This window comes from Homo sapiens, chromosome 2 (assembly GCF_000001405.40).
Source record: "Homo sapiens chromosome 2, GRCh38.p14 Primary Assembly".
Lineage (NCBI taxonomy): Eukaryota > Metazoa > Chordata > Mammalia > Primates > Hominidae > Homo > Homo sapiens.
This window is the reverse complement of record NC_000002.12, coordinates 240,120,320-240,145,380: the sequence shown is the minus strand read 5'-3', so window position 1 is coordinate 240,145,380 and position 25,061 is coordinate 240,120,320. Positions and strand designations below refer to the sequence as shown.

Genomic DNA, 25,061 nt, shown 5'->3' with positions numbered 1-25,061 from the left:
CCGGTGGGGTTGGGAACCCACGTAGGTGACTGTCAGAGGGCGCCCTTATCCTTACTCCTTGGGTACCTGGGCTCTGTCCTCGGGTTTATGGAGGGGGCAGAAGACAGCAGCTGAGAAGCAAGTGGGCAGTGAGGGTGGGGAGGGCCGCGTTCCCTGTGGCTCAGCGAGGACAGCAGGGTGGTCGGCCTGCAGGCACGGTGGGCTCTGACACTGACTGGCTGGGTGGACCTGGACCAGGCACTAACACAGGTTCGGAGAGGAGGCAGGCAGGACACAGCCAGGCAGGAGGCCGCATCCCTTGCTGAGACCGAGGACACCAAGGACATGGGCCAGGGGGATGGGGGCGGGGTGGGCCGTAAGGAGAGGCCATGTCCCCCATTGAGACCGAGGATGCCAAGGACACAGGACAGGGTGACAGGGGCTGGGATGGGCTGCGAGGAGGCCGCGTTCCCTGCTGGGACCGAGGACATGGGACAGGGTGATGGGGGCGGGGGTGGGCTGCTGCAAGGAGGCTGTGTCACCTGCTGGGACCGAGGACAACAAGGACAGGGAACAGAGGGATGGGGGCTGGGGTGGGAGTGGAGGAGGCTGCCCGAGGGTCCTGGGAGGAGGCTGTACTTATGGGACAGACAGGTGAGCAGAGGAACTGATGTGATCAGTGGGGCTGCTGGGAGGGGTGGACAGGTTCCAGGCAGCAAGCAGAGCCCCAGTGCCGAAGCAGGGGGCACGTTCCTGGGGCCCTGATGGCGGGCTGGAGAGAGAGGAGCTGGGAAGTGAGTCAGCAGCAGGAGCCTGGGCTCTGAGGCCAGACGTGGGAGCAGCGTGGACTTGCCAGAAGCCTCCCTGGCAGCCGAGGGGTGAGTGGTTTGAATATGGCCTGTCTGCTCCGGAACACAGGTCCAAATCTGGTCACCATGATGGCGGTGTCGTGACGGGGCCTTTGGGACGGGTTTGTCCGTGAAGAGGGGCTGGTGCTTCCTGTCGGGAGTGGGTCGACCCTCTCGGGAGCGCGGCTGTTATAAAGGCAAGCTCGGCTGCCTCTCGCCAGGGGGCCCCTTTGATTCCCAGCCATGCTGTGGAGCAGCACGAGGCCCTCCCCCGAGGTGGCTGCCCAGGCTTGGACTCTCCAGCCTCCAGAAGCGTGAGCTGAACAAACCCCTGTCCTTTATAAATGCCCAGTCGGTGGCATTCAGTGAAGACCAAGACAAGGGGACAGGGAGGAGCACGCAGGAGGCACAGCCCTCCAGAGCCCATGTCCGGGGGGACTGTGTCTTTAGGGCTTTAAATCATGTACAAGTGTCTGTGCTTGGCCTGTTCCTCCAGGAAACAGAGGTGGGCTGGGCACAGGCCCGGCCACCCCAGGCTCAGTGACATCCGCGATAGCCCAGGCTTGGTGTTCCCGAGCTGGACAGCAGGGGGCACCAGAGACCACCCGATCTCTGCACTGCCAGCGGCGCCCGCAGCCCGGCTCTGCCTGGTTGGCTTGGGACCCACCAGTGCCCACCAAGACAGTCTTGTGTGTGTGAGCATGTTCTCGCCCCAGGTAGACGAGACTTCCAGAGGCCTCCGATGCATCCACGATGGGTGGGGACTGTGCGGGGCAGGGGCAGGAGCTGGGGCTGGGGAGCAGAGACCCTGCAGAGTCACCTGGAGAAATTTCAAAACCACCGAGACCTGGACCCATTAAATCAGAATCTCACGTTAGGAGGCTGGAAATCCTGACTATTCAAAAGCTCCCACGTGGTCCCAATGTGCCACCAAGGTTAAGAGCCACTGCTTGAGATGGTGGCCCTGGACCTGCCCAGCACCACCTAGAGACGTGTTGGAAATGCAGATTCCCAGGTCCCTCAAGCGCGTGAATCAGAACTCTGAGTGGGAGGGGGCCAGAAAGAGACCTGCATTTTAACAAGCACTCCAGGGACTCTGAGGTCAGGCCCCCAGGGGACTCTGACCCCCAGGCTGAGAACCGCTGCCCGTGCCTCACAGCCCAAAGTGTGCTGGGGGACCAGTAGTATCCTGAGCTCTTGGGAGCTGGTTAGGGATGCAGAATCCCAGGCCCCCCACCTGTTGAATTAAACCTGCATTTTAACAGGACCCCTGGGGAATTCTTACAGTTTGAGAACCATTGCTGTAGGGGCTGTCACTGAACAAGAACGATATACACAATATACACAGCTTGGTGTGCAAACCCCTACAGAGGGCATTCTGGGCTGCAAGAGAGCAGGTGAGAGAGGAATGATGAGTGAGTGGCCAGGGTGGTGCCCTCCAGGGTGCAGGGGAGCCGGGGCCCTCTGGGTAGGGCCAGGGAAGGCTGTGTCCAGGCCAGCGAGGGACAGTGACCCTGCAGGACCCAGGAAGCATCTTCTCAAGAGAGTGGTCCTGCAGGACCCAGGAAGCAGGACAGTGCATGGCGGTGGGGCAGTGCAAGTGGCAAGATGGACCAGGACAGCCCGAGTGATCAGCAGCATACAGCTATTGGTGGTGCTGGGTGGTTTCTTTTTAAGATTTTTTTCCTTACATAAAAATAATAAATTAAGGAACATACATATACCCAGAATGAAGAAAAACCACATATATACGCCCATAGGTCCACCGTCCAACACCATCACTGCTTACTACTTCTAGAGTTTTTCCACGTATAGTCTTTTATTCAGTCATTATAAAGATATGGTACATGCTATCATATCTCATCTTTCCTAACGCCATAGGCGTATTTTCACATCATCTTCAGACATGCGGTTATTAACAGAAGGATGATAGGCCCATCCTCTCTGGCGGCCCCATCACGGTCAGAGGCTGCGGCAGGGCCCGGCCCACCCTCACCCTCCTCCCCTCTGCATCTAGCTCCCACCTTCCCTGCTAGACACGGAGGTCCTAGGCCCACCGCCGATGCTGGGCTGTGCATTTTCAGACAGGGCCTCCCAGACTGTTTCCCGGCTCGCCCTCCCAGGCCCTCCCTTCTTCACCACCTCCCACAGTCGCAGAAGGCCCATTCCTGTAGCAAGCTCACTCCGTGTCTGGCCACACTCTCCCCAACCCAGCTGGACACAGTATTGGTGCTCGAGAGGGGCCCAGGGATGGGAATGCTCAGGGTGGAATCTGGAATTGGATCTCTGGCTTGACTAGATCGAAGACTGGTTCCATTTCCCATGGAAAAGAGGGCACTGTCACCCACCCAGTGCAAAACAGAGCTATAGAGAGCAGGACTTTGGGTGACCAAGCAGCTGAAGCCACGGAAATAAGGACCGTGGGCTTGGTTGGTAACTGGAAAGTGTGCTGCCGAATCTGCGAAAAGACAATGACGAGCGCAGAGCTTAAATTCCCAGCTCAGGGGGCAGGTGAGGAACCAGAAATCTTCTGAGCTGTGCAGGGAAGGGCGACGAGCAGGCCTGGGTCCTCACCTCGGCACCTGGATTTCAGAGGGGCCACTGCCCCTAAGCTCTATGTGCCAACAAATGGTTGTGCTAAGCACCTGCTTCCTCCTGGGGGTCGGAGATCTGCACATGCACGAGTCAGAGGGGGCTGCACGACCAGCCCTGGGCTCTGAGGTTCTGAAGGGCTCCCCTCATGGGGAGATTCCACAGGTGTCACCACAACGTGGTGCTGGGGAATGGAGAGCATCCCGTGGGGTCCTCGAGAGGATGCTGAGTCCCACGAGTCCTCCTAGGGCATCTTCCTAGTGAATCATTGACCTGGGTGCTCTTGGTGACCCCGAATACAACTGCCCTGAAAGAATCCATTGCCTCCTGTAGCCACAGGCTCCAGATTTCTGAAAAGGAAACCCAAAATCTAATCCGTGGATGGCTGCCTTACCATCTGAATTAAATTAACCACCTCTCTGGGTATCTTTGGTTAAATGTATGGCATTGTGTGGGGAAAAATGAGCCCTTAATCATTTGGATGGGGACATGTGAGCAGACTGTGATGAACTCCAGAACCATGGGACACATGGGTGAGGAGCTTCCCAGAGTCCTTAAACAGCCCCCAGGGTGACCAGGAATGACAGGGGAGACCGCCACAGCAAATTCGGCCCCTGATTCAGTGGGGTGGCGGGACCCCAAGGAGCAGGACCAGGAGGAGGCTCTATGTACTGGAAAGACAGGTCAGCATAGGAACCGATGTGGTCAGTGGGGCAGCTGTGTAGTCAGAATGGCCCTGCCCACAGAGACCCTTGGTGCTGGCTGCTGGTGTCCCAGGGTGGGGACAGCCTCCTGCCCACCTACAGACTGACACTTTGGATCGCAGGGAAGCTCCCACCTGGAGATGGAAGTCCATCTTGACCCCACACTTTCTGCTGGGGCTCTGCTCAGTGGACGTCCTGCAGGCAGGTCCCGCTGACGGGGGCTCCTCCTGCCTGCTGGTTTAAGTGGAAGCAGCGCTGGAATTATTCAGCTCCTCCTCACGAGGGAGGAAATCTCAGCCAGCCCCGGTATTGGACGTAGGATCGCTCCTTGCGGAGAGTAAACTGGGTTTGTTTCAAGTACCAATGCTGAATTCAGTCCTAACAATTTCAGAAATGGCCGAGCCAAGATGTTTTTCTCTCAGTTTGAACTTTGGATCAGATTCCCAGAAATTGACACTCTGATTGTGCCTGCCAGCAGGGCGACAGGAGCCCACAGTCCTCCGGTGGGGATGAAATATTCAGTTTGACTGTTCAGGCAGGTGACGTGTCCTTCCTCATCTGCAGCCCTTCTATAAAGAGGACTCTTGAGCTGGCAGCAGAGCCCATCCAGGCAGCACGGCTGGCTGAGCAGAGACAAGGTAAGCTCTGGAGAGGCCAGGCAGAGTGGAGGGGGGTGCAATTTCTTAAGTCATGGGAATTAAGGCCAATTGAGGCAGGGATTTCACCTCCAAATAGTGGTTTGAAACCACTGAAATGGAAATTGCTAGGAAAACAGTAAGAATTTTTTTTTTAAATCCATGCCATTTTCCCCAGGGCTGCCCACACTGGGACTGGTAGAGGAAGCCGGCCCTGACGGATGGGTGGTCTCGCCCTTCCTGGGTTCATCCTGCTGCAGGTGGGCCTGAGTCGCAGATCAGGAAGCACCGGGAAGATGCAGGCCTGCATGGTGCCGGGGCTGGCCCTCTGCCTCCTACTGGGGCCTCTTGCAGGTGAGGGGCCGCTCTGGAGGGAGGCAGCCACCAGGACCCCCGACAGCCCTCCTGTTCTCTCCCCTCCCGCATGCATCCCCAGGCTGCTAGGAAACCTTAGAGCCCTGCAGCTGGTGTCGGGTGGGCCCAACCGGCACCTGGGTGGTCCTCCTGGGTGACAGCTCTTCTCTTCCTTTGCAGGGGCCAAGCCTGTGCAGGAGGAAGGAGGTACCGTTCTCCAATTTCTTTCCTTTCATTTGCATAAGTAACTGGTATGCAGCGGGGAGAAACTGCTGGGGAGAGCAGCAGCTTCTTATCCCAAGCAGACGCATCAGGGGCCCTGGCTCAGCTCAGGCCCAAGCATGGAAAACATGGCCCTTGAGAGCCAGCTTGGAGCTGTGCAAGCAGAGGGTCTATGAGCTCCTTCCAGCTGGGACCCTGCCCTCCAGCCACCAGGGAACACACTGGGCAGGGGGAGCCAGGGCCCCATGACCCCTGACATTCCCACTATCAGACCTGGGTTCCAGCCCCCAGGCCCTCCCAACTCTGAGCCCTAGCTCAGTCCAGTATCTTCAGGGCTGCTCTTGCCCAAGCTTTAGGACAGGTTATACGGGGGGTAGCGGAGTGGGGTGTCTGTGCTCTGTTCTGAAATCCCAGCAGGTGGCTGCTGGTGCCCCACACCCTCCCCACACAACTCCTTCCTCAAACAGGACAGGGCTTCCCTCCCTCTCTTCCCCTTCTTCTTCTTCCTCTGTCTCCCCGACCAGATATCCCCAAGGATCTGAGAGGGGATGGGCTCAGGCCCCCACTCTGGGAAGGTTGTATCACTGTAGGTAGAGCTGGGAACCATCCACTTGCCTTGAGACCTCTGAGGATGGTGTCTCCAGGCAGGACCATGGGGACAGCCCCCAAGGCAGGTGTCTTGTGTCTTTCAGACCCTTACGCGGAGCTGCCGGCCATGCCCTACTGGCCTTTCTCCACCTCTGACTTCTGGAACTATGTGCAGCACTTCCAGGCCCTGGGGGCCTACCCCCAGATCGAGGACATGGCCCGAACCTTCTTTGCCCACTTCCCCCTGGGGAGCACGCTGGGCTTCCACGTTCCCTATCAGGAGGACTGAATGGTGTCCAGCCTGGTGCCCGCCCACCCCGCCAGGCTGCACTCGGTCGGGCCTCCACAGGCATGGAGTCCCCGCAAAAACCTGGCCCCTGCAGGAGTCAGGCCTGGTCTCACGCTCAATAAACTCCGGACTGAAGATGCACAACCAGCGTTGTGGGTTGTCTTTCAAGGACAGCTGCGCTCAGGCCCCACTTACTTTATTTCACAAATGAAGCTGGTTTTATTTTGATTCCTGGGGAGCACTTTCATAAACTCTTTCATAAATGTGCAACATTTCCATCCACATTGGCATCAACAAGGGATTTTATATCCTGGGCAGGCTCAGGACTGGCTTTCTGTGTCTCTCACTCATCCATTTCCCACAATGATCCTAGGGGGCACTGCAGTTCCCCCAGATTACGGGTGAGGAAACTGAGGCAGAGACATGCGGTCACAGCCTGACTTGTTAAGGTCACACAGCTGGTTAGGGGGTAGCTAGATTCTAGTCCAGGCACCCCCGCTCTGGGCCACTAAGCTGGGCAGCACACAAACCCACAGTCAGGGCTAGGCTGACTCCACACCATGACACACCCCTGGGAGCAGTGCCCAGGAGGCAGCAGGAAACGGAACTGAGAAACCCCACCTGTATCTGTCATCGGTCAGGGACAGCGGGGCCTGGGCAGGCTCTGTCTTCCAGGGACGGCTCTAGGCTTTGAGGATGCTGGGAGGAAGGGGGCTTCACCTGGGGCACTGGAAGACTGGGCAGGCAGCACGATGGTGTCTCAGGGATGGGCCTCCAGCAATAGGATGGCCTCTGCACAGGTGGTGAGCCCCCCATCCCTGTAGGGTGTACAAGCAGACCGTGGAGACCCACAGCTCCACCCCTTAGCTAGTAAAGACCTTGACTTAATGGGTCAATCTTCTTAGTCACTGCCAAGCCCCTGTTCCATCGGACTGACTTTCACTTGGGTCCTTCAGGGTGATGCACATTGGCATGGCATGAGGCTCACCCAATATCCACTGCCAGCTTCTCCCTGCGTCCCACACTGTCCACTCAGGCCAGGCGGCCCCTTTTCAGGCCACACACACCCCTCACATTTCAGCTCAATTCCTGTCCCTGGAACTACCCTCATCCATGCCGCCCCCCACTCCCCTTCTCTACAGCCTAACCCCCAAACCCAACTCCTCTAAGGCCTGTTAAAGGAAAACATTATTGGAAATTTTCAGAAGTTGTTCCGAACCCTGGAGACGGGTGTGGGGACCACTGCAACGGGATCTTGCAGTGGGGGAGGGAGACCAGGCTCAGCTCCGAACAGCACAGGCAGTGGGGGTTTGCGGCTGAGGAGCAGGTGGGGTCGCGGGTGGCAAATGACTGGGAGGAACACAGTGCGGGACGGGATGCTGGCTCGGCCGACCCCGCAGGGCTTTCGCTGAAGACAGGTCTGGGCCATCAGACATCCTGGGGATGCTGGGGGACCAGGAACCCGATCCAATATCCAGGGTGGGGGGCTCTGGCTAAACCAACTTAGCAGGGCTCTCTGCGAAAACTGAACCTGACAATGCAGTGCACAGATGGGCCTGGGAGGAGGTTAGGAGGCCACCGAAGTCTGGCTGAGCAAGGAATCTTTGGCAAAGTCTAGTTCCAGGACCTGTTGCTCTCTCTCCTTCCCTCCCCTGTTCTTCCTCTCTCCCTCTCTTCCTCCAACCTTCTCCCTCCTCTTACCCCTTTCCTTCTCCTTTCCCTCGCATTTCTGTCACATTCTTTTTTGTTGTTTTTTTCATTACGGTAAAACTTCACAAATTGTTTCCATCTTAACCACATTTCAGTGACGTTAAGCACATTCACGAACTGTGCAGCCATCACCAGCAGCCTCTACAGATCCTTTTCATCTGTCAAGGCTGAAAATCTGTCCCCACTAAACACGAACTCCCCATTTCCCCTTCCCCAGACCCTGATAACCCCCTTCTACTTTCTGTCTCTATGACTTTGACTCCTCTAGGGGCCTCGGCTGAGTGGAATCATGCGGTGTTTGTCTTAGGACTGGCCCGTTTCCCTCGGCAGAGCGTCCTCAATGTTCCTGCGCGTGGCAGCAGGTGTCGGCATTCCCTTCCTTTTAAAGGCTGAGTAATGTTCCACAGTGTGCATGGCCCACATTTGCTTATGCACGTATCCATCGATGGGCAGGGACAGCGGGGGACGCTTCCCTTTTTCATTTATTATAAATAACGCTGCTGTGAACGTGGGGTAAAGACGCCCCTTGGAGCCTCGGCTTTTGGTCCTCTGGGCTTGTGCCCGGAAGGGGAGTGCTGGGCCACGTGGGTGTCCGTGTTTGATTTTCTGGGACCTGCCCCCCCCCGTCTCCCGCCCCGGCTGCCGCGTCTCACTCCCCGCCGCGGTGCGAGGGGCCCCGTGTGCCGCGCACCCTTCCACCCGTGTTTTGCTGTTTTTTTGACTCTGGGCGTCCCAGGGGTGCAGCGGCCGTGGGGCCCTGGTTTGCTTTCACCTCTTCATCTGCTCACTGGCCGCGAGTGTGTCTTCTTCAGACAAACGTCTGAAGGTCAAGCCCTGGGCTCCTGTGAACCCGGCCGTCTTTGCGGCAGAGTCTGAGGCTCCTTCTTTATTCTGGATCCGGCCTCTGGTCGGAGGCGTGCTCTGCAGGCACTGCTCCCATTGCTGGCAGCCTTTTCTCCCCGTGGCCGCCCGGCCGCCCATCAGAGGCGTTGCAGACGCCCGCCCTCGCCAGCGCAAAGACAAACGCCGGTGGCCGCGGACGCGCCGGCGGCCGGGAGCACCCCAGCGGGCGGGCACCACAGAGGCGCGGTCCTCCGGCGTCTAGATCTGCCATGTGGCGCGCGCCGGAAGCGGCTCTGAGGCCGGAAGTGAGCCTAGAGCGCCGCGGCCCCGAGATGAAGCCGGCGGTGGACGAGATGTTCCCCGAGGGCGCCGGGCCCTACGTGGACCTGGACGAGGTGGCACGGGCCCGGCGGGAGTCTCCGAGCGTGGGGAGCGGGGAAGGGGGAGCGGAAGGGCGGCGTCCTGGTGCGCGGGTCCCGGGGAGGGGAGGCCGGGCGGGTGGGCGATGGGCGCGGCTCCCAGGCTCCCTGCCCCGCGGAGAGCAAATCCCGGTTTCTCCGAGCACCTGGTGAAAGGCGGCGACCGACCGCGGCGGGAAGCGTGTGCCCTAGCCCGGGGGACCAGGAGGCGCAGCCTGAGGGTTGAGTGCCTGCTGGGTGCCCCCACGGCCCCCGGGAACACACCCGTGGTCAGAGGAGTTGCGTTTGCTGCTCTTCGATGGCTGCAGCACCCCATGGGGGCCCGCGGTGCGTCTCCATAACCTCGTGTGGGATTTGAGCTCGTGTTAGGGGATTTGGGGGAAGAAAGTGGGCTTTACTGTGCCTTGGAAGCGAGGATAATTCTCCGATTGGGCCTCTTAATCTTAACTAGAATGAGGGAAGACTGGAGCAGCCGTCATTCCTGTCGGAGCGGAAAAGGAGACATCTGGCATTTATGTGCTTTGCGTAGTGGCCTCGTTCTTCTTTTTAATTATACAGGATTATACAGTCGTCTTGGGGTTTTGTTGGTCTCTATTGTGTTCACAGAGTGACCTTGTCTGATGTGAGCGTTCTGAGATGGTTTATGGTCAGCAGGAGAGCACCACAGCCTAGCTCAGAGTGGCAGGCCAGCTCCTACATGTCAGGGCCTTATGTGCTCTTTCTCAAAGCTTAGGGGCTGCAGAGGTGGTCAGAGGCAGCCCTTGTGCTTGTGGAGGTAATAGCATGGCAGAGCGGCTGATTGCAAATACCAGGTGTCATAGAAAGCCGAAGGCGCACCGACGGATGGACCCTCAGGGCTTTGAGGGGGCTCAGCAAAGGTACAGCTGAGGAGTCGACTCTGTGGCCAAATGCTGGGGGACACATTGGTGTTTGCCAGGTAGTGGGGGATGAAGGCCCGGCAGGAGCAGAGCCCTGGGTTGGGGGATGCCGACTGGCTCACCAAGGGAAGGGAATGTTGTGTCGTTTAACATGGTTGAGCGTGCAGTGCCAGAGAGAGGGGAGACAGTGGGTAGGGACTCTCTCCCTACCCAGATCGTGAAACCATCTGGAACCATGCTAAAGAGGGTGGCTCTGTGCACCCCGCTCCCGAAGCACTTCCATTAAACCCAGGCTTCTCAGTCCTGTTTTACAGTCCTAGGCTTCACAGTCCTAGGCGATGTGGAGCCACCGGAGGGCTTTACAGTGGGGAGTGAGAGGCTCCGACTTGCTCTGTAGGGTGGCAGCATTTACGGGTGAGAGGGTAGAAAAATGAGAGCAGGGAGAACAGGAGAGTTGAAGAGGGTGTGAATGAGGCAGATGGAGGTAGGGACAAGCTTCAAGTGGTAGAATGCGCGTGGCTTACTGTGCTGATGGGGACAGGGAGGGTGGCTGAGAAGCCAGGGGAGGAGACTGAGTGTCCTGGCTTTTCTGAGAGTGTCTGAAAGGGAACAAGGGCATGCAGCTATGTGGGGATCAGGGCAGGTCTGAGCAAGCGGCCTTGTGAATGCTGGGGCCAGGGCAGCAGCAGGACCTGTGGCCAGCTGTCCAGGGTGCTGCTGTCAGAGGAATCTGCTCCCTCTGTCACCGGTTGACTCTAAACAGGACCCAAAATCCTGAGGGCTTCAGATTGCCCAGCTTGGGTTGTGACATGGTTTTTCCACTGCCGTGGAGTTGTGGCAGTGGACGGTCCATGATAGCAGCGGGGCACCAGAACCTCAGAGGCAGAGCAGGTCAGTTTCCTCGGGGAAGTGGTTTCATTCCCAGAAGAGAGAGGGAAGGGATCCTGAGTGGAGGCGATGGGCTCAATTTCGCATGTTTGTGGCCTCTGGCGATGTCCGGCGAGGGATCGGAAAGCTCTCCTTGAGGGGCACAGAGAAGTAGTGGTGCTTAGGTCAGTGGTAGGTTTCTTTTTTAAAGGCAGACAGGAATCAAGGAACAGAAGCCCTTGAGAGACCTTAAAAATCATTCCTTTGAATTCCTCCCCCTCCCCCCAATACACATTCCTGTGTCTGGAACTAAAATGTTGACTCCAACTTGAGCCTGTTTCCCCTCACCCATCTTCTTTTTTTGTGGGGGTAGTGGCCCTGCAATGCACTTATCACCTGTTCTTTCGGAAAACGCACCTGACATAACCTTGCCTTTCCATTCCCCAGGCGGGAGGCAGCACCGGGCTCTTGATGGACTTGGCAGCCAATGAAAAGGCCGTTCATGCAGACTTTTTTAACGGTAAGGATGCTTGGAATGGGATGCCAGATTTAATCTGAATATTTCTTCTCTAGGTGAAGGCAGTGAAGCAACTTGGTGACATGAATAATTTGGATCATAAGGTGGTAGAGCCCCTGCGCTCCTCTCAGAATGCAGTGCAGCCTCTGTGGAGCGATGACACGGGCTGCGGCCACTGGCAGGCAGCCTTATTTTTCAGGAGAAAAGTAGCATGAAATTGTTCCCAGCTTGCAGCCCAGTAGTTGAGTTTGAGCTCTGGCATGCGTGTTACATGTGCCTGCGGACACCTCAGACTGTAGCCAGGTCTGGGCCCTCACCCCACACACGGCCATAGGAACCCCATCTGTCTCCCTGTCTCCGCCCTCTCCGGGTAGCCGGTTTCCTTTCCTCTCCCAGCCCACCTGTGTTTGCCTGCCTGGGTTCTCATGCCCTCAGCTGCCTTTGCAGAGGGACAGCCATACTCCAGCTCTTGCCCAGCTCTGAAATCAGGACGCAGGATGTGTTTTCCTCTTGATTTAAGGGCTTCAGTGCTAGTTACCAAAAACATGGGTAAACCAAATGAACAGTGAAAAGCAAATTTTCTGTAACATCTTCAGACCTGCTAGAGGGAATATTTCTCATTCTCTTCTGATTTCTTCAGGCCTTATTCCTATAGATGATATTAACCTTTACTAAGGGTTCAAATAATAAGTAAATAAGATAGGTTTCTTACTCCAGAGAGTGAGGTGGCATTTTTCATCCTGGTTTAATCCATGGTGCTTTTCTCTACAGAAAGCTCTTGTTACTAGTTAACAGCTAGGACCTGAGCTTGCCACATCGGTTTCTAATTTACCAGAGACCCCCTGCCATCCTGAGTCCCTGCTGCTTCATCAGGCTTACTGTCAGGCAGCCATTGCCTGAGGGGAGCAGCCAAGCTGCTGAGTTGGGGTGCAGGCTTTCCCAGGGTGCCTGGCCATGCCCCTGAGGCAGCATTCTTACTGCTACCAACTGGAGTCAGAACTGAGGCAGATGACATTTGAGATGAGCCTGGAGAACTGAATAGCATTTATTTCAATTCTTTATGCCAGAGCGAGGTGGGAGAAGGGTGTTGCCTTCAGAGGGAACAAATTGTACAAAGCTGCAGAGCGCTCTCCAAAGCTGCTTTGCAAAAACACCAGCTCACCAGGGCGACTTTGAAGCTTTTCACGTGGGCAGGATTGGGCAGTTGCTAATGCTGGCACCACACGCTTGCATTTTGATGATCTCCTTCAAAGTCCCATTTATCCTCTGCCAGCCCATTGGTTAGAGGCGATTGCTGTGTTCTAGTGTTTGAGTTCACATGACTTCCAGAGTCAGCCCTTGAATCCTGACGGGAAAGCATCTCTGAGAGGGACCCAGGTCCTACCCGTCAGGTGAGCGCCCAGCAACCTGAGCATTGTGGGCGCGTGTCTGCCTTTGAGCCACGGCCGGTCAGGGAGGGGACGCAGGAGAGCTCTGTGTCCCCTGCCTGCCCACCCACTAAGTTCACAAAGCACTCACTGTCCCATCAGGTTGTGACAACCCCATGTGTTCAAGAAGCCATTTACTTTGAGAGACCTCTGTGGGCTGTGGATGAGGCTTTTGCTAAGTCCTTTTTACTCGTCAAACAGATGGGTTTGCTGGGCTGTTACACCCTGGGCACCAGGGTTCTAGCCACGAAAGAGACACTCTCTCTTCCCTCGCCATGTCTTACAAAATTGTGGGTCCAGACAAGTCAGCAGGCAGGGGCTGGACTGTGACAAGAGCCCTGGCAAAGCGTGGACGGCATTGTTTCTGGGAGCACTGCAGAGGGAGGTTTCTCCAGAGGGGGCAGCAGAGCAGAGGTCGGAAGGTGTGGAGTCAGCCAGGCCCAGGACTGCGCAAAAGTGCTCCTAGCGGCGAACCACAACCAGCAGTCGGGAGGCAGTGAGGACGTGGGGGTGCATCAGTGTGGCTGGGGAGCGTCGGGACCCTCTGCAGTATCCAGAGATGCCTCAGGGACGCCACCCTCCCCAGGAAGGCTGGATGCTGTGGTGCCAGCAGGCCCCTTTCTCTTCGCTCTGACCCTCCAGGAGTTGAACCTCCTCTTTCTAGTTCATAATTCATACTGCACATTTTCAGTGCGCAGTACATGTGGGTGGGCTTTTAGTTGTATTTTCACCTCCCATTGTGAAAGTGATGATTGCCTGTAGTAGGGAATTTGAAAAACACAGAAGACTAAACAGAAGGACAAAATCTTTCCTGGGGGGCCTGATTTTGATCACCCAAAGCAGGGCACTACGTGTTTGCTGCGTTTCTTCCAGTGAGAATGGGCCTTAGCAGGTGTTTCTCAGGCTTGAGTATCATTCACGCTCCCTTACTGGAGGCTTCACCTTTCTGCAGCCTAGCCCGGCTTTCTCATGCTCACAGCGGCAGCCGGCTGGTTTCCCTCTGCTCTCAAGGACCCAGCACGTGCCTCCCAGCTTCATCTCTCCCCGGCCCCGGCAGCGAGGGCAGCATCTTGGGTGCCCGTGCACTCGTGGGTGCAGACACGGCACTGGCGTGTCCTGAGTGCTGAGTTGTGGCTGTGCGGTGGTGTCCGTGGGACTCAGAACAGCCCTGCATGCATTTTCTTAGGATTGTCTTTTAAATGAAAGCTAGAAAGCACTCTAGCCAACACTCTCCCCTTGGACTACATGTACGAGCCCTGGTTGGCTGAAACTGAAAGTCTGTTACGGGAAAAGTCTTTTATTTCATTGGATCATTGACGATTATCTCTGTATTTTGGACTACTATATAATTCATTCTGAAGTGATTTCTTCAGCCCTTACCCTTGTAGGTGTAACTACGTGGTTTTGCTTATTTCCCTAGATTTTGAAGATCTTTTTGATGATGATGACATCCAGTGAGATGCCCTCTGGCTGCAGGCGGGGCCAAGCCCTTGGTACAGAGCCGCAGTGTGAGCCTGCGCAGGACAGTTTCAGGTGGTTTTAAAGAACACGTGGAAATCCCTTGAATTTAGGACCTGGTTAACCAGAAAGATAAGACTGTTCTTAACGACCTAGATGATTCTGTTCATCTCTGAACGGGATCAGGTTTTGTCCTCACTCCAATTAAAAGAAAGCAATGTCACATGTGGAGTGATCTCTTTCTTGCACTTATGAGTGAATGTTGCAGTCCCTAAACGTCTCTGTGTGTTTGTGTGTGCATGCATGTGCGTGCATCTGTCAGCACGCTGAGAGAACCACATTTGTCTGGTAGCAGATACCTTGTGTTAAGGTGCTGTATGTGCTGGAGCAGGAGGCAGCGCGGCCCGTGCACAGCTGGGCCTGCTGACAGCACTTGGAGGACCTTGCCACGGGGCCGCCCCTCTGCTGTGTGGGCAGGTTCCCACTGTGTGTGTCTGTCAGCACAGTCGTCCTTATGCTGTCCTCTGGCCTCCACGTCAGGGCAGCTGCCCCTAGGCTTAAGAACTAGGACGACAGGATGCGACTGCAGGAGACGCCTTCTACGTGGAAATGCACATTGGTCCATTTCAAAGGAGAGTGTAACGCCCATGTGGGAAGAGGGGTCTTGTTTCCTGTAGGCCCAGCTCAGTAGTCGATACTGGCTGTAAAGCAGTGAAGTTGCTGTTTGACATCCATCTCGAAGTGAAGAGTGTTTCTCAGGCCAGGAGACGCCCAGGCCCAGGACTTCAGCAGTTCCCATTTTCAGAGTTAAAGCCCCTCAGTGGAGGGACCTGCTGCCCCCGCTACTGAGAACCCGCTGAAGGGTGTCACCTTGTCATGTTTACAGAAGAGACATTTGTACTGGAGGCCAGGTGAGATCTTAAGCAGAACCGAATGTCAGCTCTGCCTCTTTTTCTCATGAGTGGTGAGTGGATTTCCACCCTGTCATCCTGATGGAGCTCCTGTCCTTTGTTGGGGCTCAGCAGCTCAGGACTGCCCAGGACAAGCCAGCAGTCCTCCATGGTTCCCGCACTGCAGCGAGGGCAGTCGGAGCACGGGGTCCGTGGGAAGGCAGCAGAGCGGCCTGTGGTGTCGGAAGAGGTAAGAAGTGCATCTCTGTAAGAAGGTCTGCACTGGGCCGCACGTTGAGGCTGCCGCTTTGTTTCTGAGACCCACGTGGCTTATCTGCAGGCGAGGAGCAGGGTTTCCAGCGGCCAGGCGTGCACGTCGTCTGCACTTGGAGAGGGTGGGGTTTTTCAGTGCTATGTTCTTGCAATTCATTTCGTGAGAGTTGTTTTTACAGTTTCATGAGTGGATTCCTCAAAGCAGGCATAGAGGGCTCTGTGGGGAACAACTAGGTATTTGGGTGAATTCTGTCGTGATCAGGTGGTTACCCTGCAGTTCCCCTTCAGCTGAGGTTTATCGCAGTCCCACAGGGCCTGCAGTACACAGTGGTAAGGGCTGTGGCTACACTCAGACTGGCCCGTGGCAAACACCACTGCCAGCGAGCTGCAGGCTCCTGCTGAATCCGTTCCTTTCTTTGGAGGGCTGGGCACAGTGGCTCACTCCTGTAATCCCAGCTCTTGGGGAGGGTGAGGCGGGAGGGTCACTTGAGGCCAAGAGTTTGAGACCAACCTGGGCAACAGAACGAGACCCCCCTCTCTATACAAAAATTAAAAAAATGAGCTGAGCATGGTGGCACGTGCCTATAGTCCTAGCTGTTTGGGAGGCTAGGGCAGGAGGATCACTTCAGCCCAGGAGTTCAGGATTGCAGTGAGCGATAATTGCACCACTGCACTCCAGCCTGGGCCACGGAAACCCTGTCTCTAGACAAAACCAGAAATGTTTCTCTGGGCCTCTGTTTCCTCCTTGGTGAATGGGGATGTCAGCCTCTGGCCTTCAGCAGGAAGGAATGATCCCAGGTGGAGAAGAGAGCTGCCGCAGAGGAACTCAGGCAGAGTGCAGATGGGCACACCCCTTCTAGACCAAGGCCTGTGAGCCCCAGAAGCTCCTGTGTGGGCCGTAGAATTTCAGGTTTGCCTGGTCTAAGCTGCTTTGTGAATAGCAGTCTGCACATGTGTGCATGTCAGTGTCTTCTGCACATGTTGAGACCTGTGTGGGCTCTAGGAGACCTCCCTTTGCCTTCACAGAATCCTTGCAGCTTCTTCAATACCATGAGGCCACGAGCATTGCCACCTGTTTTTCTTCCTCATCTCCGTGTGACTCGGCTGTCACCGTGAGGCTGTCAGGAAGAGTGATGACCTGGGTGATCGGACTGCAGCTGACGGGCCCAGCCACGGTCACTCCCGTGGCAAAACTCCAGCCATTGTCAGTGATGTGTCTTCACCTACACTGACAAAGAGGTATTTTCTCGGTTTTTATACCTGATCGCCTTCATCACAGAGACCTCTATACCGATCCCTGCCACATTTAGAAAGCTGCTGGGGGACCGCAGGCTCAGCTGCCGGCCAGATAATGAACCTCAGCAAGGCAGCACAGCTCTGCGGGGAATGCCTGCCTGCGTCTTGGAGCAGAATGGGCCGAGGGCGAGGGAGCCTTCTGGGGTCCTGGAGAAGACGCTTCTGTGAGAAAAGAAGGAAGCACTGTCCATTAAAATCCATGCAAGAGAGGAATTTGTTGGAAGGCTCACAGAAGGACAGCTGGCCCCAGGGCTCAAAGATCCCTGGACTCAACTACTTCCTGTTTCTGCCTGCCCACTGGCTTCTTGGGCCTAGAAAATCTTTCTCCACAACAGTTTCTTTCTCCACCGTGGTTCCAGCAGTCTCCACACTATATCTCTGGTAACACGCCTCCCAGGGTGGCAAAGGGGACTGTGTCCCAAGGGAAAGGCTTGAGGAAGGTCTGTGATTCGCCCACCTTCTGCGAGCTGTGCGCTTTGCCCGCCTCCAGCCCTGGATCAGCACCCGGACTCTCAGCACACCTTGGTGGCATCATCTTGGCCACACAGCGCAGGTTTTGTGTGAATAATCATTGCCTCCAATTAGTCCCAAAATACTACTCTCAAGTATGTCTTGAATGGTTTTAATGGTTCCTGGGTGATTTTTGAGGGGGTGTGAGTGGCCTGCCATCAGAGATGGCTGTCACTTGGGGGGCAGTGAATCCAGGGAGGGTTGCTCAGCTGGCTGAGCAAGGCAGAGCAACCCTGATCGAGGGATGCCTGGTCCCTTTGTCAGGGTGCTCAGCAGGCATTTCTTAAGTGTAAACAAGCAACAACAGAGGGACTTTGAAAATGACGGAATCCTGGGATCTTTTGGAGAGAAGAGAAAGCCACCCCAAGGGCACTGAGCCTGGTGACTCTTAGGTGGTGCCTTGCTGTGGAAGAGGCATGGGGTCTCTCTCAGATCTCTCCTGTACGGACGCTGATCCCACTCATGAGGGCTCTGCCACCATGACCTAATCACCCTCCAGAGGTCCCACCTCCTAACACCATCACCTGGGGGTTGGGGGTGAGGATTCGATGTGAATTTTGAGGGGACACAAATTTCTGAACAGTAGCACCTTGCAATTGGAGGGTGAGCAGACATGGCCCGATGTGGGCAGTGCCACGCCACCCAAAGGCAGGAGCTTGAACACATCTGGGATGCACTACCTGGTCAGGAAGTGTGTGTTTGAGAGAGAGAGAGAGAGACTGGTTAACAGGGGCCCTGGGACTGGACCTAAGCCTAACTGCCTCTGGGTGGTTTGGAATTTCCCTGTGCCTGAGCTGTAAGGTGGGGTCATAATGATGCCTTGTGGGGCTTCCTGGTAGGGGTGGGGGTGGGGGTCAGCGAGCTCCTGTGGGAAATGCTCGGAAATGCTCTGGCAGTGCCCTGCACAGTAGTCCAAGCGCTGCCTGGGTATTCGCCGTTAATTATTACTAGCAAGCCTGTGGGTCCCAGGAACCCTGTGTCCTTGTACTTAGCCTTCCCCTCTCTGTCCTAAGTTCCTGTACCTTGTAGAAATACTTGTCTTCTCACTGGACAGAATGACTTGTCCCAGGTCACTCGGAATTCCAGAGGCAAACCTACCAGACCTCGTTCTAGTGTCACGAGCTTCCTTGTCTCTCCCCAGAGATGTGAACTGAACGGGAGAGAAGTGGCAGCTTTGGACAGAGCGTTTGGGAGCACAGGCCATGGGCAGGGGGCGGAGGCGCTAATGTTTACCAGATGCAGAGAACATCCGCTGTGTGGCACCAACAAAGCAACAAGTGAGGGGAAAATGGGCACAGGACGCTTAAGAAACAGTTTACGGAAGAACCAATCCAAGTGGCTGGGAAGTTATCTAGAGGTGCTCAGAACCACAAGAAGCAGGCGAGAGGTCAGCGAAGACAGCACAATATCAGTTTCTACTCACTGGAGGGGTAAATGTTTTAAGAGTGATGAAACACCATCCGTTGCTGGTGGAGAAGAAGGGAAGAAGACCACACAGCCATGCATAGATGTGAGGTAGGATGCAGAGAGGTGTGTGTTTCCGACGTTATCTATTTATATACATGTCAAATAGCCATTGTGTTCCTGTGTGTGCAGAGACACATGCTTTTTAGATGAGTGTCAATGTGGCGTGTGCCCATGTCTATACGCCCCAACGTCAGAACACCTACCCAGAGTCCTGTGTCGCTTAGTGACGGTGTTCCCTTCTGAGAAATGCCTCATTAGGTGATTCTGTCATTCTTCCAATATCACGGAGTGACTGACACAAACCTAGATGGCTTAGCTGGCCACACACCCAGCCTGTTGCTCCTAGGCCACACACCTGCACAGCTCGTGACTACTGAATCCTGGAGACAACCGGAACACAATGCTGAGCATTTGTGTGTTGTGAGACAAAGTGTCAAACCTAAGGAGCCCTGTTTGCTCATTTCTGCTTGCCAGCATCATTTCGCAAAGTCCCTGTGTGCAGTGCTCCAAAGATGCTTTGAAGACAAAACGGCAGAGCACACGCCACGCCCACATCTCCCTCCCGAGTCACTGCGTTCCATGTCTTTCCTGCACAAGGTAATGCCTGTGAGTTAGTGATTGTGCCTGTGCGATCTACCACCTGATGTCCTGCACAAACGCCGATGCGATTCTGCTCTCAGGGAACTTCTGAGCAGGTTCAACGTGACTGTGTCCTGAACCCCACCACCTGCATCTCCGCAGTGCACTGACACCCTGTGCGGGGCAGTTGGACAGGACCTTGCCAAGGGGCTGCTCCCAGCCTGGAGGACTCGGTCTGGAGTCCTCAGAAAGACTTCTGAATAACACTGGTTTAAATGCCTTCAAAGCTTGACTTCTTTTCTTCCATCAACAGTATCTAAACATATCTAAGCCTAGAAAAGGAATGGTTAAAATGTGCTGTTATAATCTGATGAAGCCACTGGTGCATATGCCGTCTTATTTTTGCCCAAAATGGCATTATGTGGTACATGACTGTAAAGCAAACATGGACAGATCCAGAGGGAGAATTAGAATACGAAAATATAGGAGACTCCAGAACTCCTATACGAAAATGTAGGAGACTCCAGAACGGTACAGTCACGGGCAGACCATCCAGAGAAAGTCAATGAGGAAAAAGCCGACTTAAACACTGCTACAGACCCAGCGGACCTGACAAACATTCTTCCCCCAACCTGTGTGCTCTGCCACCAGCTCCTTGATGGCAATATGGTAACGGCGATGACACTGAAGATACACAAGAAAGTGGGGTTTGCAGCATGTTTTCCATACGACAAAAAACATGGAAACAAAATGAATGCTCATTCTTGAAAGAGGAAATTATGGTGTGTCCCTACCATGGGGTCCTGCACGTCCTTACCGTGGTGTCCCGCACCCACCAGGCAGAGCATCCCTACCGTGGGGTCCTGCACCCACCAGGCAGAGCGTCCCTATCATGGAGTCCCGCACCCACCAGGCAGAGCATCCCTACTGTGGGGTCCTGCATCCACCAGGCAGAGTGTCCCTACTGTGGGGTCCTGCACCCACCAGGCAGAGCATCCCTACTGTGGGGTCCTGCACCCACCAGGCAGAGCGTCCCTATCATGGGGTCCTGCACCCACCAGGCAGAGCGTCCCTACTGTGGGGTCCTGCATCTACCAGGCAGAGCGTCCCTATCATGGGGTCCCACACCCACTGGACAGAACATCCCTAACATGGGGTCCCGCACCTACTGGGGAGAATGTCCCTACTATAGGGTCCTGCACCACTGGGTGGAGTGTCCCTACCACGGGGGTCCTGCACCCACCGGGCAGAGTGTCCCTACCACGGGGGTCCTGCACCCACTGGGCAGAGGGGCTGGAGTTTCAACCGCTGGTGTGGAGGGGATTCCACAAAGCCATGTGGCTGGGAAATGTGGGATGCAGAGAGGTAGGTGTTACCTCACATATTCATAATGATTTACGTATACATCGACATTTTGTGTGTGTGCATAGGTGTACACTTTTTAGATGAGTGTAAATGTGGCGCGTGCATCAATCTGTATAAAACGCCACACGCTTGCACTGTGCGGCTCACCTAGGCCCACGGGCCATGATCACACCCCTGCATATGATCATACAGGTATGTGTGTGTATGTGAATGTTTCATGAAAGACTGTGCTTACAGCCCTGTGGGGAAGGATGAACACTAAGGCCGCTGTGAGAACCCACTGTAAAGCACGAGGGCAGGGCAGCTGTTCCGGGGGTGGGTGCAGGCCCCGGACCCCACTCTGGAGGGGCCTGGGGGAGTGTGGATGGAGAACCTTGGGAGAGGACGCACAGTCCCGAGGGAGGGGAGGGGCCATTTGGGGTGGGCAGGGGGCCTGAGCATCAGCGAGGGGCTGGGCAGAAGGTGGCGTTCAGATGGCTTTTCTCCCCAGACCCAGAGGCTGCCCCCAGCGGGGGTCCCTCTCTATTTCCTTAGATTCCCTGTTTGCAGCTGAAGCAGAGAAGGAAAGCCTGGCCTTCAGGGTCCAGGGCTGTTCATCAGCACAGGGCTGAAAAGAGGGGCCGACTGCAGGGCTCAGTCCTCTGAACTGGAGGAAACCTTGCTGGTGTCAGGGCCCTGGTGGCGCCTGCAGAGGGGCTGTTTGCCTAGAGAATGAGTGCACCTTCTGGACTGGAAACAGGCGGGTCTCAGCTGGAATCTGCCCCGGACATCCGTGATTTCTGCTCAACTGAGAATTACGTACATCATGGCAATACAGAAATGAATTTATACATATCCTTCGCCCACTTTTTGATGGGGTTGTTTGATGTTTTCTTGTAAATATGTTTAAGTTCTTTGTAGATTCTGGATATTAGCCCTTTGTCAGATGGGTAGATTGCAAAAATTTTCTCCCATTCTGTAAGTTGCCTGTTCACTCTGATGGTAGTTTCTTTTGCTGTGCAGAAGCTCTTTAGTTTAATTAGATCCCATTTGTCAATTTTGGTTTCTGTTGCCATTGCTTTTGGTGGTTTAGACATGAAGTCCTTGCCCATGCCTATGTCCTGAATGGTAATGCCTAGGTTTTCTTCTAGGGTTTTTATGGTTTTAGGTCTAACATGTAAGTCTTTAATCCATCTTGAGTTAATTTTTGTATAAGGTGTAGGGAAGGGATCCAGTTTCAGCTTTCTACATATGGCTAGCCAGTTTTCCCAGCACACTTATTAAATAGGGAATCCTTTCCCCATTTCTTGTTTTTGTCAGGTTTGTCAAAGATTAGATGGTTGTAGATGTGTGGTATTATTTCTGAGGTCTCTGTTCTGTTCCATTGGTTTATATCTCTGTTTTGGTACCAGTATCATGCTGTTTTGGTTACTGTAGAAGGATATGAACAGACACTTCTCAAGACATTTATGCAGCCAAGAGATATATGAAAAAAATGCTCATTATCACTGGCCTCAGGGAAATGCAAATCCAAACCACAATGAGATACCATCTCACACCAGTTAGAATGGCAATCATTAAAAAGTCAGGAAGCAACAGGTGCTGGAGAGGATGTGGAGAAATAGGAACACTTTTTCACTGTTGCTGGGACTGTAAACTAGTTCAACCATTGTGGAAGACAGTGTGGCGATTCCTCAAGGATCTAGAGCTAGAAATACCATTTGACCCAGCCATCCCATTACTGGGTAAATACCCAAAAGATTGTAAATCATGCTGCTATAAAGACACATGCACACGTATGTTTATTGCGGCACTATTCACAATAACAAAGACTTGGAACCAACCCAAATGTCCATCAATGATAGACTGGATTAAGAAAATGTGGCACATATACACCATGGAATACTATGCAGCCATAAAAAAGGATGAATTCATGTCCTTTGTAGGGACATGGATGAAGCTGGAAAACATCATTCTCAGCAAACTTTCTCAAGGACAGAAAACCAAACACCGCATGTTCTCACTCATAGGTGGGAATTGAACCATGAGAACACTTGGACACAGGGCAGGGAACATCACACACCGGGGCCTGTCATGGGGTTGGGGGAGAGGGGAGGGATAGCATTAGGAGATATACCTAATGTAAATGACGAATTAACAGGTGCAGCACACCAACATGGCACATGTATACGTATGTAACAAACCTGCATGTTGTGCTCATGTACCCTAGAACTTAAAGCATAATAATTAAAAATAAAATAAAATAAAACAAACTACCTTTAGTCATTCAGGTCACATAAAAAAAAGAAAGAAATGAATTTATACAATTTGGAGGTCTCTTGTGGATCTGCAGATTGAAGCTTCCTGCAGGGCAGGAGGCCTGGATGATTTGTTCCAGCCAGCAGTCCTCGGGTGGTGTGGTGGTGTTTGTGTTTTCTCCCCCCCTTTGGCCATTTTAACTTTAAAATTTATTTTGCTGAGATTCCATTTATCCTGTCACTTGGCAGGCTCACCTCCATGTCCCCAACTGCATCCAGTATAGCTAAGGAAATGTTGAAAGCACCTGCTAGCCCTCTTGCTGAGGCAGGAAAACCACCAACCCTGCCATGAAAATAACATTTAGAACAGTTAGTTATGTTTTTTATTTATTTAGCATCTTGCCAGTGATCATAACAATCTCAAAAGATCCATTCATTGAAAGCCAGCATTGAGCCCAGCATTCATATTCTATCATTTCATCTTCCGAAAGTTCCCAAGATGGACGTGGCGCGCTGGCTTTGCTGATAAACAAACCGAAGCTCCCTCTGGCACAGTGACTCGTGCAGCCTGGTCTGGCCGTGTGAGGAAGGACGGGTTGAGGCTGAGAGCAGCAGTGCAGTGTGGGCCCCGTGCAGGAAGCGCAGGCTCAGCTCCCAGGTCTACCCTCTCGAGGTGTGACCTGGAGCAAGTTATCACACTTTTTTGCCTGGGTTTTCCATTTGCATAAATGAGGATTATGACAACACCTACCTCAAAAAATTAAAAATATCTGCTCAGCAAAAAATACTGGAGTGAAGGAACAGACTGTGGTGGGATCTGCACAGTACAGGAGTCTGACAGGGGACTCACTTTGTCCAGAACACGTTGCCTGTAACAGGAATTCCCATAAATCAACAATAAAAGCATGCACAGGCTAATGAAAAAGTGGGCAAAATGCATTTGATTGATAACTCATTCAGAAATGAATGTATGCAAATGATCAGTAAGCACCTTCAAAGGATGGCAACACCCTCACTCATCAGAGAAATGCAAATCAAAACCACGGTGAGGCATCACTTCACATTTCTGTCTGCAGCGAAAGTCTAAGATGAAGAATACAGCACTGAAAGTCATCAGGGATGTGGAGCCTCTCCTGGAACGGTGGCTGTGGGTGGGGGTGTAAAAGGATCTGACCACACTGGGGAAAAGTTTGGCAGTTTCCTAAGTGAAACCTGTATCTAACCTATGGAACACCCCTCCCCAGTGAAACCTGTATCTATCCTATGGAACACCTCTCCCCAGCTTCCACTTTTAGGTACCTGCCTAAGAAAAATGGATGCATATGTGCGTGCGTGCACACACACACACACACACACACACACACACACACACAGACACAGAGATGTGTCCAGTAATGCCCAGCAGCTTTATTCATCGTAGTTCCACACTGGACACCGAAACAGAATGTAGAGTCCAGAAATAAACCCACACATGCTTGGTCAGATGAATTGTGACAAAGGGGCTAAGGAAATTCAATAGGGAGAATCTTCAACAAATGGTATTGGAAGAACTAGATATCCATGTGGAAATATAAAATGATCCAGTGCTGACCTTACACTGTACATACATGTTAATTTGAAATGGATCAAGATGTAAAGCTACATAACTTCTAGAAAAAAAATCGTAGGAGCAAATCTTCATAGCCTTGCAGAAAGCAAAGACTTCAGGAACCAACAATGTGAACATCGAAAAGAAAGGGAGAAAAACAAACTAGATTCCATCAAAATTAAAAACTTCTCTTCAAAAAGCACTTAATAAAATGGAAAGGCAAACCACAGATTAGGAGAATATATTTTAATACATATATGTGACCATATAAAGAACTCTCAAAACTCTGTAAGAAGACAAACATCTCCCCTTCAAATTGGTCAAACATTGAATAGACACTGTACCAAAGAAGATGTACCGATGACCTATCAACACATAACAAGACACGCCACATCAAAACTCATCACAGAAATACAAAAGTAACACTGCAATGTGACACCTACTATTATACACCCACTAGGCTAGCTAAAATTTTAAAAGTCCGACAATCCTAAATGCTGAGGAGTACATGAAGCTGTTGTAACTG

The 25,061-nt window shown here is 53.6% G+C and overlaps 2 protein-coding genes across 6 annotated transcripts, besides 5 other annotated features; both read left to right on the top strand.

The window, feature by feature from the left end:
* Positions 4,605 to 5,328: an enhancer, noted in NCBI's record as "H3K4me1 hESC enhancer chr2:241079470-241080193 (GRCh37/hg19 assembly coordinates)". NCBI's record gives its function as "activates a minimal SCP1, AML or CMV promoter by ChIP-STARR-seq in primed H9 embryonic stem cells {active_cell/tissue: H9 hESC(primed)}" and the evidence as "EXISTENCE:reporter gene assay evidence [ECO:0000049][PMID:30033119]".
* Positions 4,723 to 6,355, top strand: OTOS (otospiralin). 3 transcript variants are annotated; one of them, XM_017003410.2, is made up of 4 exons: positions 4,723 to 4,761; positions 5,019 to 5,112; positions 5,293 to 5,319; positions 6,027 to 6,355. In XM_017003410.2, the coding sequence occupies exons 2-4, from the start codon at positions 5,055 to 5,057 to the stop codon at positions 6,209 to 6,211; spliced, it is 270 nt and encodes an 89-aa protein (XP_016858899.1). In that variant the 5' UTR covers positions 4,723 to 4,761; positions 5,019 to 5,054; the 3' UTR covers positions 6,212 to 6,355. The 3 variants fall into 3 exon arrangements, with proteins under 3 accessions (XP_016858899.1, NP_683764.1, XP_016858898.1); NM_148961.4 differs by having other exon boundaries at positions 4,937 to 5,112; XM_017003409.2 differs by having other exon boundaries at positions 4,723 to 4,897.
* Positions 5,329 to 6,053: an enhancer, noted in NCBI's record as "H3K4me1 hESC enhancer chr2:241078745-241079469 (GRCh37/hg19 assembly coordinates)". NCBI's record gives its function as "activates a minimal SCP1, AML or CMV promoter by ChIP-STARR-seq in naive H9 embryonic stem cells {active_cell/tissue: H9 hESC(naive)}" and the evidence as "EXISTENCE:reporter gene assay evidence [ECO:0000049][PMID:30033119]".
* Positions 8,555 to 8,664: an enhancer, noted in NCBI's record as "active region_17395". NCBI's record gives its function as "activates an Ori minimal core promoter by ATAC-STARR-seq in GM12878 lymphoblastoid cells {active_cell/tissue: GM12878}" and the evidence as "EXISTENCE:reporter gene assay evidence [ECO:0000049][PMID:35858748]".
* Positions 8,675 to 8,774: an enhancer, noted in NCBI's record as "active region_17394". NCBI's record gives its function as "activates an Ori minimal core promoter by ATAC-STARR-seq in GM12878 lymphoblastoid cells {active_cell/tissue: GM12878}" and the evidence as "EXISTENCE:reporter gene assay evidence [ECO:0000049][PMID:35858748]".
* COPS9 (COP9 signalosome subunit 9) lies at positions 9,034 to 18,833 on the top strand. Of its 3 annotated transcripts, none has more exons than NM_138336.1 (5): positions 9,034 to 9,189; positions 11,376 to 11,448; positions 14,293 to 14,326; positions 15,353 to 15,470; positions 18,441 to 18,818. In NM_138336.1, exons 1-5 carry the CDS (start codon positions 9,034 to 9,036, stop codon positions 18,816 to 18,818), a joined length of 759 nt encoding a protein of 252 aa, NP_612209.1. The 3 variants fall into 3 exon arrangements, with proteins under 3 accessions (NP_612209.1, XP_016858900.2, NP_001156896.1); XM_017003411.2 differs by having other exon boundaries at positions 9,076 to 9,159; positions 18,441 to 18,833; NM_001163424.2 differs by lacking the exons at positions 15,353 to 15,470; positions 18,441 to 18,818 and having other exon boundaries at positions 9,076 to 9,159; positions 14,293 to 14,553.
* Positions 9,215 to 9,264: a silencer, noted in NCBI's record as "silent region_12506". NCBI's record gives its function as "represses an Ori minimal core promoter by ATAC-STARR-seq in GM12878 lymphoblastoid cells {active_cell/tissue: GM12878}" and the evidence as "EXISTENCE:reporter gene assay evidence [ECO:0000049][PMID:35858748]".
* Positions 18,834 to 25,061: the final 6,228 nt, after the last annotated feature.